The 17,343-nt window shown below is 35.6% G+C and overlaps 1 long non-coding RNA gene across 3 annotated transcripts in view; it reads left to right on the forward strand.

Annotated features, from left to right (window-relative positions):
- The first annotated feature begins 337 nt into the window (after nucleotides 1–337).
- Nucleotides 338–17,343, forward strand: part of LOC105378396 (uncharacterized) — a 66,197-nt gene continuing 49,191 nt past the window's right edge. For 2 of the 3 annotated variants that reach the window (NR_172928.1, NR_172929.1), the window contains exons 1-2: nucleotides 338–414; nucleotides 11,804–11,915. This is a non-coding gene — a long non-coding RNA (uncharacterized LOC105378396). Of the gene's footprint in view, nucleotides 415–4,274; nucleotides 4,492–11,803; nucleotides 11,916–17,343 lie in introns of those variants that run through there. The other variant, NR_172930.1, reaches the window with a different exon arrangement.

A 17,343-nucleotide genomic window follows, 5' to 3' on the forward strand; every position in this document is an offset into this window, starting at 1 on the left:
TGCCTACTTCAGTATGTCCATAAATATTAGCCACCATTGATTATATTGTTGCCTGAACAACATACTATTTTCTTATAGCTTATTTTCTGTGAGCTCATCATTACTTCACAACCAAACTTTTTCAGCGGTGAAATTCTCATTACAAGAAGTTGAGACACATTAGGTATGCTGCCACTGTTACCTGCTTGATGAGACCCTTACAGCTTTTCTTAGATGCCTCAGGCTGGACAGAAGGGATTCCTGGCCTGCTGGGTACCTGTCCTTTTAGAATCTTACCATCATCCTGAGGATTCCATTTGCTTCTGTTGCATTGGATCCTCTATTTCTTGGATTCCTTATTGTTCTCCTTGATTTACTCCATCGATTTGGCAGGACATATCCTGTAGTGGTTTCCCGAGAAAGAGCGTGTTATAGGTAAAGTTTTAAAATATTCAGTTTTGATAATTTCTTAATTAACTCCCACAATTAATTTGATTGGGAATAGATTCTCAGTTAGAAATAATTAATTTTGAAGAAATTTCTACATGTTTTCTAGTTTCCAAGGGTGTGATTAAGGTATATAATGACTATTGAACCTCTGATTCTTGATTCTTTCTCTCTCTGTGTGTGTGTGTGCATTATACATATACATATATATATACTATATATGTATATATATAGTATATATATATAGTATATATATATACTATATATATAGTATATATATAGTATATATATACTATATATATACTATATATATACTATATATATATATACTATATAGTATATATATATATATATTCTGTCCCCATAATCACATAAGATATTTTCATGTAGGTCTCTTTTCACTCAATGTATTAGGTGACTACAGCCTGTTCACTTTTTAAACACTTCTTTTTAATTTCTGGGAAAATATTTTCCATTATTTGATCAATAATTTCCTTTCCTCCCTTTTCTCTCTTCTCTCAGAAACTCATTTCTAGGGTTAAATATTAGGTTACTGGACCTCCTAGATGGGTTCTGTAATTTATCTTTTCTCTCCCATTGTCATCTCATTTTCTATGTGTTGACTTGCAGGATATAGGATTCTAGTTTGACTTTTTTTTTTCTTTAAAAAAAAATGGGCTTTAAATATGTTATTCCATTGTCTTATAGTCTCCGTTGCTGTTTTCTGATGAGAAGTCAGCCATTCTTACTATTGTTTTCTCTATTTAATATGTTTTGTTTTCCCTGGCTACTTTCAAGGCTTTCTCTTTATTTTCGGTTTTCGCATAAGACCCAGAGTACTGGTTCTCTATCTCTTCCCCACATTTAGGCAGATAAATAGATTTCTCTCTGATGTCTTCCCTCCAGCAAAGGTCTATGTATTGCTTAGCTATTGCTGCACAACACTCTCCAAAACTTAATGGCTTAAAACATCAAAGATTCATTTTCTGAGAATTTCTCTGAGTCAGAAGTCTGGGAGCCACCTAGCTAGACAGTCTGGCTTTAGAGTCTCTCACAGGACTGCAATCAAGATATGGCTGAGTTGGGAGACATCTCGGGATATGACTGAGGAAAGAGACTTCTAATCTCTCAAAAGAACTTCCAAGTTCATTTACATGGGTCTCTCTACAGTGCAGTCTCATTAGCAACCTGGAGAGAGTGAGAGAGAGCGATGGCAAAGAAGAAAGACTTTCATATTAACATCAGAAGTAATGTCACTTTTGCCACCTTCCATTCATTACAATCTAGTTAATATGCCCGGCCCAAACTCAAGGGGAGAAGATCACTCAAAGGCATGAATATCATGAAGCAGGGATCACTAAGAACATCTTAGAAGCTGCCTATGACAGACTGTATCTGTCTCCTAAACTATATAAGTGCCAGAGCTCAAGTGGGTTTATCTAGTTCTCCTCTGACCTCAGACAATAGCAGACCCAGCATACCTGTATCTCAGATAGGGGTCCCTACCTTTACTCTTTCAAGAGAGCACTTAATAAGGTCCTTGGAAAAGAGATAATAGGTAGTTATAGGTTCCTTTGTGTCTGGGGCCCTCCAAGATACCAATCAGTCCAGACCACAGTAAGCCTTTAAATTTTTATTAAAAATTCAATTACAGCCACATTCACTTGTGTCTGTGGTGACTTCCACCTTCTCATGTTACTCTGCCAAAGATGAAAGCAGAATCCCAACCTGGCAAGAAAAGGCTGGTAATTTCTGGATTTTTTTTCATTAGGTTACCTTGTGATCTCAGCTTTCTCATGGACATAAAATAATTGTCATTTTGTCTATCATCTGGTTAGTTATAATTACTAAAGTAAGGGAGACATTCTACTATGGCTTTCCACATATTACGTGGAAGGAGTGTGTTTTCCAATTTCTTCCTCCATCCCCATGTCTTCTTTCTACTTATCTTTGTCCTGTGGCTTTATTTCTCAAATGATAAAATTAAAACTCAACTTATTGTTATTTTGGTGAGGTTCTTTGAGAAAATGATGCCAAACATGTCATTCAGCTCTTCATCTCGTATATATATTTGTGAAAAATAATTCGTTAGAAGCACTGGGCACAGATGGTCTGTGGTTGGTTGTTTAATACTGAAGTGTATAGATCTGAGTATGATACTTTTTTATTTTTTTTTGGAGACCGAGTCTCACTCTGTCACTCAGGCTGGAGTGCAGTGGCATGATCTCGGCTCACTACAACCTCCACCTCCCAGCTTCAAGCAATTGTCCTGTCATAGCCTCCTGGGTAGCTGGGACTACAAGGCGCCTGCCAAGACGCGCGGCTAGTTTTTGTATTTTTAGTAGAGACGGGCTTTCACCATATTGATCAGGCTGGTCTCCAGCTCCTGTCCTCAGGTGATCCACCCACCTTGGCCTCCCAAAGTGCTGGGATTACAGGCGTGAGCCACAGCACCCAGCCCTGAGTACAATAATTTTATAATTCTAAATCTTGTTGACTTTATGCAATAAATGCAGCTATATATAATATTTTGCAGCCATATATAAACATAATTTTTAAAAATTGTGAGACTTCCTTTGTGACCTAAAATATGCTGAATTTTAGTGAATTTCTGAAATGTTTGGAAAAAATTTATTCTCTATGTCCTAGCTGTAAAATACTATTTTATCTATTAGATAAATCTTAACAACATTATTCAAGTCCTCAATATTCTGCCTTATTTTTATCTATATAACCTACTAATTTTGAGAGAAGTGTGTTAAAAAACTTACTCTGATTATTGACTTGTAAGCTTACTTTTACATTTCTAACAGATTCTGTAGTACGTATTTTATCATTATGATATTATGGTTATAAGGTAGCCTTGATAGATTGTATATTTTGTCACCATAAAATGTCTCTCTTCGTTCTTTTATCTACCTGTAGTTAGTTTTGGAAATATCTCTATTTGTTCTTTTTCTGTTTTTAGTTAGCTTTGTATTTATACATCTTGTTCAATTTCTAAAGTCTTTAAAACAGCTTTATTTTCTTGAGAATATCCATTTGATGAAGAGAATGTCCTTTCCCCTTTGAATTGTGTTAGCGAATGTTTTTTAAAAAATCAGTTGACCATAAATGTTAGGGCTTAGTTTTGAACTTTTAATACTGTTCCATTGATTGTATGTCTGTTCTTATGCCATGCCACAGTGTCTTTATTACTCTAGCTTTATAGGACATTTTGAAAGCTGGTGCAGATCATAATCTCATAAGATACAATCCCAAACACCATGATCTCAAATACTGAAATCTCAGAAGATCACAATCTCTAAAAATCAAACTCCTTAAAGTCTAAAAATTCCTAACATCTAAAATCCCAAAAATGATAATTCTGAAAGATTAAAATCCCAAATGTTGAAATTCTTAAAGCCAAATTCTGGGGAAGGTTTTGGTACATTCTTAGTTGTGCACAGTATAGTTGCATCATGTTAAGTGGAACTATCACCTTGTTATTGTATTTACTTGGAAATTAAGTATAACTTAAGAAGATGTGAATGGGTGACAGGTTGACAAAGGATAGATTTATCGACTTAATTTTAGGTGTCGACTGGATTAAGGGATACCTAGAAACCCAGTAAAGCATTATTTAAGGTGTGTCTGTGATGGTGTTTTCAGAGAAGACTAGTGTATAAGTCTGAGAGGACTAGGTGGGGAAGATCTGCCCTCAGTGTTGGCAGGCTCCATCTAATGGACAGGGTCCTGAAGAGAACAAATACATAAGCCAATTTGATCTCTTTCTGAGAGCTGGGACAGACTTTTCTTCTGCTGCCTTGGGCATCATAACTCTAGGCTTGCTGGCCTTTGGATTCCAGGACTTCCACCCCAGCTACCTCCCAGGTCCTGAGGATTTGGTGTGCAAACTTAGAGCTACATCATCAGCTTTCCTGGTTCTGAGGCCTTCAGACTTGGACTGAGCCACTCAACTGGCATCTCAAGGTCTCCAGCTTGCTGACAGCCTGCTGTGGGACATCTCAGCCTCCATAACTGTGTAAGCCAATTCCCCTAATAAACCTCCTCTGATATATCTATCTACATGTCCTATTGGCTCTGTATCTCTGAAGAACCCTGACTAACACAGGTTTGGTACTGGGGAAGCTGAATATCATTTCCTCTTACTGTATTCCTTACAACACAGTGGACGAGATCTGTGAAATTGTTCCCTCACAAAATGGCTTTGATAAGTTAAGGGTACAAGGCTACTTAATGGTGAAAGATAAAAGTTTAAAAGCTAATTATTATTGGTTCTACAAAAGCAGAAAATTGCTTACTTGCAATGGTCCAGCAATAATCAAACTTTTAAAAGAGTGGCATATGCTTACACAATTTGTACATCACAATGACTCCCCAAATACAAATGCAATGAGTGTTTCAAAGATCATAGAAGTAAAAACACGTGCAAAAAATACAAGAAATTTTCCCTGCGAAATTGTTCAATCATGTACGACATCTGCCCCTTCACCCATAGCACCAATTTGCTATGCTATGCATTTTATCTTCACATAATTTTCAATACTGAAGATATAAAGTGCAGAAAGACTTTTAGAGCACTCTAATTCATTTTGTGCACTTTTTGCAAATTTGACTCAACGAAAGTGCATTACCACAACATGGACACTGTGTGTAAGCATTGTGTATGCATGTAAAAATGTGGACACTTCCTCACTAAATAAAAGGATGTCCTTTTTATACATCTGCATAACATTTGTTAATGATAAAATTTCTTGAGATTTCAGCTCTTTGGGTGACTGCATACATAGTGGTGACCCATTGTGTTTTTGATCCATCTCATCAAAAGACATAGGTTGTCGGCCAGGTGCAGTGGCTCACGCCTGTAATCCCAGCACTTTGGGAGACCAAGGCAGGCAGATCACTTGAGGTCAGCAGTTAGAAACCAGCCTGGCCAACATGGCAAAACCCTATCTCTACTAAAAATAGAAAAATTAGCCGGGCGCGGTGGTGCATGCCTGTAATCCCAACTACTTGGGAGGCTAAGGCAGGAGAATCGCTTGAACCCGGTGCGGGGCAGAGGTTGCAGTGAGCCAAGATTGCTCCACTGCCCTCCTGCCTGGGAAACAGAGCAAGACTCTGTCTCAAAAACAAAACAAAACAAAACAAAAAAAACAAAAAAAGACTTAGGTTGTCCACAGTATTTCAAATAACTGCAGTTATAACGCTGGGTGCACACAATTACCAACCATAGTGATATTCATTTATACATTTTGCTTTTTGACCTGTTTCTTCATGAGTACAGTTTATTTGCCCATAACGGTTATATCCATGTAATTGTAATTAGTATAACTGAGTGGTTATGTTTATAAAATATGTAATTACTGCCTATTTTATCATGTAAAGTGACCTATGAAGTGTTCTATGATTTTTTTATGTTTCTCAAATAAATACCCCTTTAAAAATGTAAGTAAATATCTTTAAAACATTTTTAGAATTATATTTTCAGGATTTTGATCTTCCAGGATTATGGTTTTCAGAATTTTAAACTCTAGAGATTTTGATCTTTTGGAATTATGGCATTAGGGATTGTGTCTTTTGGGATTATGGGCCAAACCCTTTGAAATAAAAAAGTGTAAGTTCCATGACTTGGTTTATCTTTTTCAAACCTGTTTGGCTGTTCTAGGTCCTTTGCATACTCACATACATTTTAACATCTCCTTGTTAATTTCTGCAAAAAAAAAAAAAAAAGCCTGAAGTGAATTTTATATGGATTGCATTGAATTTAAATTTTTAAAATATTTTTATCTTATTGATGCTATTATATTTGAAATTGTTTTTATAATTTCATCTTTGACTATTCATTGCATGTAGAAATAAACTACTGAATTTTGTATTTTGACACTGTAACTTTGCTGAATATATTTATTAGTTCTAGTAAGTGCATTAAGAATTCCTCAGGATTTTCTACTTACAAGATCATGCTATCTATGAATAAAGTCAGTTCTACTTCTTACCTTTCATCCTGAGTTCCATTTCTTCTCTTTATTGCATAGGCTACAACGTCTACTATGAGGTTGAATCAAAATGGAAAGAAAGGACATCCTTGCCTTTTTTTCCAACCTTAGAGGAAATGCAGTCTTTCACTAGGTTAGATGTAGATTTTTCATAGATGACTTTCTAAGAGTACCATTCTATTCTATCATTATTTGTTGAAAAATTTTATTATTTTGGCTTTGTCTCATTTTTTAATCTGTTGAGATAATTATGTAATATTGCCTTTTAGCTTATTAATATTGTAAATTATGTTAATTGATATTTTTATATTAAATCAAGCTTCTATTCCTGGGATAAACCTCATTTCTTTATGGTGTATAATCCCATTTATCTATAGCTGGATTTGGTTGCTAATACTTTGTTGAGAATTTTTGTATTTGTATTCCTGAAGGATATTGGTCTATAGTTTTCCTTTCTTACAATGTCTTTTACTCTGGTATATAACACAAATACTGTCCCCTTAGAATGAGTTGGGCATATTCCCTTTCCTTCTGTTTTTCCCTTTTTTTTCAACTTACACTTCTTGTGGATGAGTTGTGAAGGAGTACCATTATTTCTTCTCTATTTCATAGATTTTTCCAGTGAACACATCAAACATGGAATTTTGTGTGTGGGAAGATTTGTGATTATTGATTCAAATTCTTTGCACATTATATGTCTATTCAGATTGTGTATTTTATCTTGAGTCATTTTTGATAATTTCTATATTTCTAAGAATTTGTCTATTTCAACTAAGATGCCTAATTTGTTGGCATAAATTTAATAGTGTCCATTAATAATACTTCTAATTTTTATAGGATTAGTAGTGATGTCCTCTATTTTATGAATGATTTTTAAAACATGTGTTTTCTTAGTTTATTTTTTGGTGAATCTATCCAAAGATTTGTCATTTCTTTTTATACTTTTGGTCCTCATTTGCTACTTTGTCTTATGTTAAATAGATATTTTATGTTGTATCATTTTAATTTGTTTGTTGTTTTATTTTATTGCATCCTTTAATTAATGTATTTATTGTTTTCAAAAGTATCAGGTTGGTAAAAAATTTTGCATATTTTTAAGTTATTTTCTTAGTATTCTTAGTATTGCTCTAGGAATTACAATATACACTGTCTCTTTTCACAGTTAATTTCAGATTAGTACTTAATTTCATTAAAATACAAAATATTTGCCTCAATATAACTCAATTTCTTATCCCTTCTTTGTGCTATATTTACATGCATATGACATATTTTATAGCATATGAAATCTTTATACAATTTCATACTTATTGTTACATGTGATCATCTATTAAATCAGTTAAGAAAAAGGGAAAAATATATATTTACACAGGTTTTATATTTGCCTATATAATTGTGTTTTCTAGTGATCTCTATTTATTCATGTGAATTGGAGATAATATCTGCTTTGACTTCTTTTTAGCCTGAAAGACTATTATTTCTCCTAAGGAAGGTCTACTAGGAATACATGCTATCAGTTTTTGTTTTTCAGAAAATGTCTTTGTCACCTTCACTTTTGAAAGGTAGTTTTTATGGATGTGTATGTGTGTATCTTGGTTGAATTTTTTTCTTTTGGCACTTTGAATATGTCATCCATTGTTTTCTGCCCTCCATTGTCACTGATGAGAAGTCAGCTGTTAATCACATTGTTGTTGTCTGTGTGTGATGAGCCTTTTGTTTTTCTTCTATTGCTTCATTTAATATTTTATCTTTGTCTTTGTCTTTCAATAGTTTGAATATAATGTCTAAGTATGTATCTCTTAATTTATCCAACTTGCGTTTCCTTGAAATTCTTGAGTGCAAAAAATAAATATTTTGCAACTAATTTGGGAAGTTTAAAGCCATTTTATTTTCAAGTAATTTTTCTGTCTCATTCCTACTCTTCTTTTTCTGGGACTCTCCTTGCACATATGCTAATAAATTTGATGTTGTTTCACAGGTCTCTGAGGTTCAATCCTTTTTTCCTCATATTCTTTACTTACTCTTCTTCAGATTGTATAATTTCTATTGATCTATTTTTAAGTTCACTGTTTGTTTCTTCACTGTATTTTTCTCATGATAAATTTTCTCTAATACACTTTAAAAATTTAAGTTATAATATATTTTAACTCCAAAATTTCCACTGAATTCTTTTTCTGAAATCTCTAACTCCTTATTGATATTCTCCCACTCATTATTGTCATATGTTTTTAAAAATTCTTTAGTCATGATTTTCTTAAGTTTTTGAAACATATGTAGTAATCATTTGTATCTGCTAGGCACAGTATCTGCTCTCCATCGGAGATACTTTTTATTGATTGAATTTTTCCTATGTATGAGTTACACTTGTTACTTTCTTGTTACTTGACATGTCTCATACATTATTTTGTGGAAAACCAGGCATCTTGTTAGATAATATATTAAAGAAATCATTGATTCTGGTTTTCCTACAAGGCTTTTTTTTACTGTTCTGTTCTGTTCTGTTCTGTTCTTTTTGTTTGTTTCTTTTTCTGTGACCTGCCTGGTCTCATTCTCCTGTCTGTTACTCCACAGTGTACAGCTCCCGAGATACCTGCTCATTCTAATTTTTTCCTGTTTTTATTTTTAAGCATAGCTTCCTAAAGCTCACACCTAAGTCAGCATATATTAATAAAGAGCCACTGGCTGGCCAGGTGTTTTGCCCTGAAACCTTGAGCTGGTAAGTCTTTCCGCATTTGTTTGCAATGAATATATGCTATGCAATATATTCAAAGTTTTAAAAGTTTACAGATATACCTCAGTTTTGTTTTGTTTTCCCCCGGGCCTCCTCATGTCTCCTCTGCATGTATGGAAGACTTCACATTTATCCAAGGGAGTATAAACAGAGAGGGCTGTCATTCTATCCTGTGCATATAAACAGTCTTGCAAGTGAATACTGCCTTCTAGTCTGCCAGGACTATGTCAGAACTTGAGAAGGCATACTATGGCTATCTCAATCCTCTGATTTCCTTGTTAAATTTATGGTTTGTCTGTCAATCTTGCTTAACTCAACTAATATTGCAACTTTAGGTTGCAATGTTGGCCTCACCTATTCTTTTGCCATTGAGATCACCACTGTTTCATACCCAGAAACATAGCATATTGCTGACTCTGCTCCAAAGGAAGTCAACCTTCAAAAACATATCTGCTGTTTTTCGCAGCTTTCCTGGCCCTGGTAAAACTACCACACCTATAAACCTGTCAGAACAGCAATATGAAACTATTATTTCATTTGCTTCATGCATCAGTGTTGTGGTATGTGAAACTATTTTGTGTTTCTTTGAGATTTATGTTTTTTTAATTTAATTTAATTTTTAATTTTGTTATCTAGAAAGTTCCTTCAGGCTTATTCTACAGTTGTTTAAATTTCCCAATGTGAGGTTACATTTTTCTTTACCCTGCTTATCATTCAGTGAGGGCTGTCAATTTAAAGATCTTTTTTGGGCAGGGGAGCCATCTATGAAATATTTTACTGATTATTTATTTCCTTCCTGTGTCTCTAGTCTTTCCTTCTGGAACTTCTAATAAATGGATGTAGAACACCATGTTTTTCCATTTTTTTAATTTAAGGTTTCCAGATTCTCCAATTTGCTCTTCAGTGGTGTTTTTGCTATATATTCTATTATTAATTTTTTAATCTATACAATTAGTATTTTTAAGTGACTATTTGGTTAATGATAAGATAGATTTATGACACAGTATCATTTCTTAAAGATCTGTTATTGAAAGCCTCTTTATTATTGTATTAAATCTGCTTGTTAGGATTGATGATGCCTCTTTTTAATTCTATAAGTTTTTCTCAGGTGTTTTCTAGTCCTTTGTATGGGTTGTCATCTGTGTTTCTAGATCCCTGTAAGCATTTGTGTGAATGCTATAATTTAATATTGCCACCCTCCTTTATGCCACCAACCATGGAGAAGCAGTAGAAGGCAGTAATCAGCAATGCTCAGAAATACTTATTTTCAGTAGATAGTGATGACCATACCACCTGGAATTTCCAGCCTTCCAGGGCACTGCACTGTCTTTCAGGCCTCACATCTTCATTTTCTCTGATTGTCTGGTACAGATGCTTCTGATACCCTGAGCTTTGCACAAAAGGCATGAAAGGCAAGAGATCAAGTAGCCTCAACAAGCAGATGTGATATCGTAACCACCCAGCCCTGAGTAGTTTCATGATTCCTTTCTGGCCCCTGTGATCCTTCCATTTCTTCACTTGCAAAGCCTTGACTGCCTTTGTATTCTTTTTAGCTAATTCTTCCTTGAGTCCGTTACAGGCTATTTTTTTCTTTAATAGAATCTTATCTGCCTACTGTTTTTTGAGTAATTCTCACAATATCTGGTGTATTAAGGTCACACTTTCTGTTCCACTACACCCTTCCAAAGACTGTCATAGATTTAATATTAAAAGCTTTTTTGTTGATTCTATCTGTGCTACCTGCCAATTTTAATTATGCTAATGAACCACTTACTATTGTATAATGATTTTTTTTCACAATATTGCATAGTCTTGCCTTTTTTTGCCCATTGTGAAACCACCAAAACCTAGCACATTGGAAGTTAATAAATGTTGAATGAGTGAAATATTTCTTAGAACAATTAATTTTAGAGTCTAAGTAATTTTAATATATATGTAGTTTAATATTTTATAATTAAAAATTTAACACTTTTGAAAATATCATTTGTTTCTTAAATTTTAGTATAATAATGCTTCAGTCCACACTATCTCTCTGTCTTGCCCTCTAATCAAATCTTACTTATTTGTTTGCTGCTCACAATTGCCTCTGCAGGATGTAAACAGTGGCAGTTCTTACGGCTGGCTTGGGATGGAGGCAGCTTTAGCCACTGGATTGTACTTATCAGTGGCCCCATCAAAAAAAGCACTCCCAAAACAGGCAATGTAAATAAAAATTAGTCCTGCTTCACATCCTTCTTGAGCTGTGTAATGGAAGAAGTGTTACCTGAGTTGTCGTTATCGGCCCTTGGTGCTTTATGGTTCTGAATAACCCTTCCTCTATGGACTGAGGCTGATGCCTTTAACCATGCCTCACCTTCAGAAGCAGTGGCTACAGCAGCAGTAGTTAATTTTATAGGTTTACATGGGTATCACAGGGTGCCCAGATTAAATATCCTTTCTCAGTGTATCTGTGATGGTGTTTCCCAAAGGGAATGAGCATTTGAATTGGTAGACCCAGGAAAGCAGATTGCCCTCCCCAGCGTGGAATGGCATCATCCAATTCATTGAAGGCCTACATAGAACAAAAGGTGGAAGAGGGAGGAGTTTGCCCCTTTTTCTCTGCCTCTCTGCTTGAGCTGGAACATCTCATATCATCTCATCTTACCCTCAGATTGTCTCCTTTGGTTCTTAAGCCTTGAGACTCAGACTGAATCACACCACCGGCTTTTCTGGGTCTGCAGCTTGCAGATAGCAGACTGTGGGACTTCTCAGTCTATAATCATGTGAGCCAATTAGTGTAATAAGTCTTCTCTTATCTATAAATAATATATAATCATTATATATAATATAGTATGTAGTATATATGATATATATATATAATATATAGTGATATATAATTACATGTTAAATATATTTTTAATTGGTCCTGTTCCTCTGGAGAACCCTAATACACCCATTATGGAAAGCAAGTTGACACACACTCCCTGTGGGCCTTCCTTATGTCCCATATGGTCGCTGGGGCCATGCAGATAGAGGGGAGGAGACAAACATGATTTCTGTTCTCATATTGCACACACACCTCAGAGTAATAGAAGAAGCAGGCCTAAAAGGGCAAAATCAAGATTGAATTCAAAAACATGTATATATATATGAAGAAAAAAGGAAATGACATCGTGATAAGTGTTAAGTCAGAGGAAATTTCTGAGACATTATCCCTAACTTATTCAGAATACAAAGCAGATACAGAGTGGAAGACACATGTACATGAAGAATTATGAATGTACAGAATATTTCAGTAAAATGGCAGCATCTTACTTAACATAGGGAGACACTTGAAGTTATATAAGAATGTACTATGCTTTACACTATTGTGTCTTCTAGACACTAGTGTAAAAAATATGGTATATGATCTCTAGTATAAATACTATGGTATATAGTCTTCAAGAATTTACTTGATTTTTAAAAGTAGCGTCAGTGGTACTAGTAATATTGACAGCAAGGGTGTGTGTGTGTGTGTGTGTGTGTGTGTGTGTGTAAATAAATTGGCTCACACAGTTGTGGAAACTGACAGGTCCCATAATCTGCAGGTGGTAAGCTGGAGACTCAGGAGAGTAGTTGCTATAGTTCCAGTCTAGGTCTAAATACCTGAGAACTCAACAGCCTATGATGTGAGTTCTAATCCAAGGGCAGGAGAAGACTGACAGCCTGCCTCAATCAGTTAGGCAGAGGAAACGAGTAAATTCTCCCTTCTTCAGCCTTTGTGTTCTATTTGTGACCTGACCAAACTGGATGATGCCCACCCACACCGGGGAGTGCCCTCTGCTTCACTCAGGCCACCAATTCCAATGCTAAGCTCACTAAGAACACCCTCAAAGACACCCAGAAATAATGTTTAGTCAAATCTGGCTAGACATTGACACATAAAATTAATTATCACAGAGTGCTCAATTGACACATAAAATTAATCATCATGGGTGCTTGCATCTTGGGCCATTGCTCCTCTAAGCTCCTCCTCAACCCCATCACACACTAGGGCTCCTGGGAAGCCAGACCCGACAGCTTTTCACTCACATATGTCCCCACACTGCAAGAGCGCTGACCTTACCTAGTACCCCACACCCACCCTCACAGGATCCACAGCAACCAACAAAGCAACAGAAAACCAACAAACACCCACCAACATTCCCTCTTTTACATACACCCACTCTACTGATAGGGCTGTTTAAAAATAACAAATACATATGTCCTTTATCACTTATAATTCAAGTCCACTTAATAACAATGCTGTGTTTAAATAATATTTAGCTACATTTTCCAGATGAAGAGTAGCATTCAGAGAAGATAAATAGATTCCCCAAGTTCACACAGCAATATAGTGACTTAGGTCTGGTGTCCCATGAGTTTCCAATATCAACACATCATGCTCTAATGATGTATCAATGTAGCCTCATCAATTATCACAAATGAACCACTCTTCTGGGGAATGTTGATGATGGAGGAGGCTGTGTGTGTGTGGCACTGGGAATATATGAAAAATCTCTGTATCTTCCACTCAATTTTGCTTTGGACCTAAAACTACTCTAAAAAATAAAGTATATTTAAAAGAATTACCCTCTGAAATATTGGGCAAATTCTAAGGTCTTGCTCAGGGGGCAGATCAAGGGCTGGTTCCCCACATCCTTCCCCTTAGCTATCTCATCACCAGCTTCTATGATTTCTATGGGTGATCTGGGTTGGGCATCTTAACTTTCTGGCTTCTAGAGGAAACAGAAATTCATGGGACTGTGCTGAATTTCTGGCATGGTTTGAGGTATATTCATGGTTCAGCAAGCATGTTTTAAATGATGTCTGTGATAGACGATTCCCAGTTCTGCACCCTAGAATTTCATGGTGGGTGAGAGTTTGAATTCCCATTGGTCAGTAGGTATTTTTGCTTATGATTCAATTGAGACACAGCTAGAGTTCTCAACTCCAGAATTCTCCTCTCGATAATATTCCACACACATTCTCATTTTTCTGTCTTATATTAAGCATTTGTCTTTCTGCAACCATCTCATCTGATCTCAAGAAATTACTCTAAGTAATATTTGGAGTTAAAGGAATGTCTCAAACTTGCTTGTTTCGAATTTTTTTAAAGGGTCAGAGGATTAAAATAATACAATGTTTTTAGATTTAAAAAACTTTAAAGACCAGGCTTACTTAAACAAATAAAAATGAAAGATTAAAACAAAATATATTATGTAAACCAAAGATGCAATTGTTTAGTTGTTATTGCTGTTGTTGAGAAAGGCAATTTAGTGGGATTAAGAACTGAGTAGAAAATCACAAATGACAGCACAGCTTTGTTTTCTGCATCTGTCTTATTACCTTCCCACACTCTGATTCTAAACCCCATTTGTCTTAAGGATGTTTTTTAAAGGTTATTTCCCATATCCCACTTCCTAATAACCTTGACTTCGTTCATGAATATTTTTGTACATCTACAAGATGTGTAGCATTGCATCAGGTGCTCAGGATTCAAATACCTAATTTATTTGTCATCCCAATTCCTATGAAGCAGGTATTTTTTTTTTTTTTCGCGAGAATGCACAGGCTCAGAAAGTCCAAATGATTTGCCCAGGGTCATGGAGCTAGTAAATAACAGAACAGAATATAAATGTATGACCTACATCAAACCACCGAACCAGACTGACTCTTCAATATATCAGGCTGCTATAGTTCTCAAAATCTACTCACTCCAGTTTTCTCACACACAAAATCTTAAGAAAACTAATGGACAAGAATCCTGGTATGTTTTCTCTTTGCCCTCATGATATTCACAGCTGATATATTTTTAAGGATCTCAGCTTTAAATATCAAGAGAATATTATATCTTAATTTATCTGATTACAAGTTAAATCCTATCTATGAGATACATACACACTAAGTACATTCAATAAGAATATACATCCAATCATCACAGAATGTTCAATATCACTCACTCACACTCAATGAGTTTAATAAAGCCAAGACCCAGCATATATTAAGCATTTACTCTGAAATATGTCAAGAACTTTTGCATATTTTGCCTCCTTCAAGCTTCCCAACAATGTCATTTATTATTTACATTTGACAGATAAGAAAAGTGAACATTAGAAAATTCAAGTCAATGGTGGAGCAAGACACAAACTTCTGAATCTGAGTCTAAGGCCTGTGTCTTTAACTACAACATTCATCTGCCTATAAAAGGAGGAAATCAGGATTTGTAGAGCATGCACACATTTTATTATTGAGCAGGAATAAGAACGAAGGCCTCTATATGCCCACCGCAAAGTGTACTCTGCCTTCAGACAGCTTAAGTTCCTAGGTATAGCCTTATGGTTAAGCTGTAGATTGCTAAGACCTAACCTATAATACAGTGCTTCAAACTGTGCATTTCAGAGTCCTGGCATTTCTACCTACCTCGTGGACTGGTTATCATTTTAGAATGAACCTTTTGCAGTGCTAATTCCTGGGCTAAATAACAATAGTAATGATGACAATAATAAAAATATTCAGTGGTGGTGGTGATGATGATGACAATAATGATGTTATCACTACAGGTTCCATTCCAAGTGGCCTTGTTTGTCAGAGAATTGAGCAGAAAGCAAATTGGAAATCTGAAATGAAAAGGGTTAACTGGTAAATTGCCATGTGTGAATCTGCTTTGGTTTTTGCATTTTCTGTAAGACAATTTGAATTCTAAATGGCACTCCAACCCAGAGAGTGTGAAATCTGAAACTTGCACTGTGAAAGTCATACAACTGAGCTCTGATAAGTAACCTTAAATAATTTGAGACTTAATGCACCATTAAGATCATTTCTGTTACCATCTTGTAACAATTGTGTGGCCAATGTTAATAGATAGATTTCCTTTTAGAAAGGCTGGGGCCTTCCTCCAGCCCTGAATGGCACGCCTGGACTGTGAGATGCCAATGCATATACCATCTAGCCATAGTGGAAGAGTGATTATTCTTAAAAAGTTTCAATTAAGCTCCTCTTTTGATCTTGTCTAGCTGCCTTGTAAGTTGGTTAGATGGAGACTTCAAACTTTGTGAGCACATGGTAGGGGAGAGGTTTATGTGCCTGCCTCTTCTTGCTCTCTGTACAAGAACAAGGCTTTATTAGGCTCCTTCTCCATAGCAGATGAATATAAACTCTATGGGATACTTTATAAGCAAAATGGCCCTGCCTCAGAAAGAAATAATTAATCCTCAGAAGAAAAAAATTATCTCTAAGAAAGGAGATTGAGGCTGAGCATCCCAAAACTAAAGAATCTCAGGGATATGATACCAGGCAGTGAATCAGACATCAAAATATGAACTACTGCCATAGCTGAAAAAAAAAAGGCAGCATGTCTTTTCATAAAGGGATAACTCTTATCTCCAACTTCATATCACTGCTTTAGAAAAATGGCAGTATGCATGTAATATGAAATGCTTCTTCCACTAGCAAATTTTCAGAGGAGAAAATTTAGTTTGAGTCAAGACCCAAAACTATGCCTTATAACAGTAAGATTTCACTCAGAAAATTAATATAAAATAATTAATTTAGACTCTGGGACGTAGAAATGTTATGAGTGGCTCATTCTGTCCCAGACAAGCCACCACTGATTTTCTGAGCCAGAACATGGGGATCCTATGCCATCCATACATTAGAGCATAGCATGTGGCTGCTGTGGGAAGGGCACAGACTGACAGAAACCCAGGGCTAGAAGTGCTCCTGAGAGCTTAAACTTTACAGGGGCTCTAAGCATACAGAAAACATCCCCATCATGCTTTTGCCAGCTTCTACTCATGTTCCTCTGGAATCTGCACTTGCACCAAATATCCCAGATCCAGTACTACCTCTTAAAGCCATACAGACCAAGCCCAATCCTTCTTCTACATCTATGAAAGATGCTGTAAAGTTACTTGCACATTTGTCACCTGAGATAAATTTCAGTAGTATAAGTTATTATGGTCTGAAGACTCATAGGTGGAAAGTCCTTTGCTGGGTGCTATTCCAATTTCATTCATTCCTTGACAGCCAGTAAATGAAATGCCTATTCAGCCTTTTCTCCATGCTACTCATCTTGAGTCTTTAAATGGGACTATTTTCTAAATGAGCCTCTTTTAGTCATACTAATGTTGTAGGGCATTTTAAAGTGTGATATCACTTATCACAACCTTTTATTTTTTGAGCAGAGTTTTG

This window comes from Homo sapiens, chromosome 10 (assembly GCF_000001405.40).
Source record: "Homo sapiens chromosome 10, GRCh38.p14 Primary Assembly".
Classification (NCBI taxonomy): domain Eukaryota; kingdom Metazoa; phylum Chordata; class Mammalia; order Primates; family Hominidae; genus Homo; species Homo sapiens.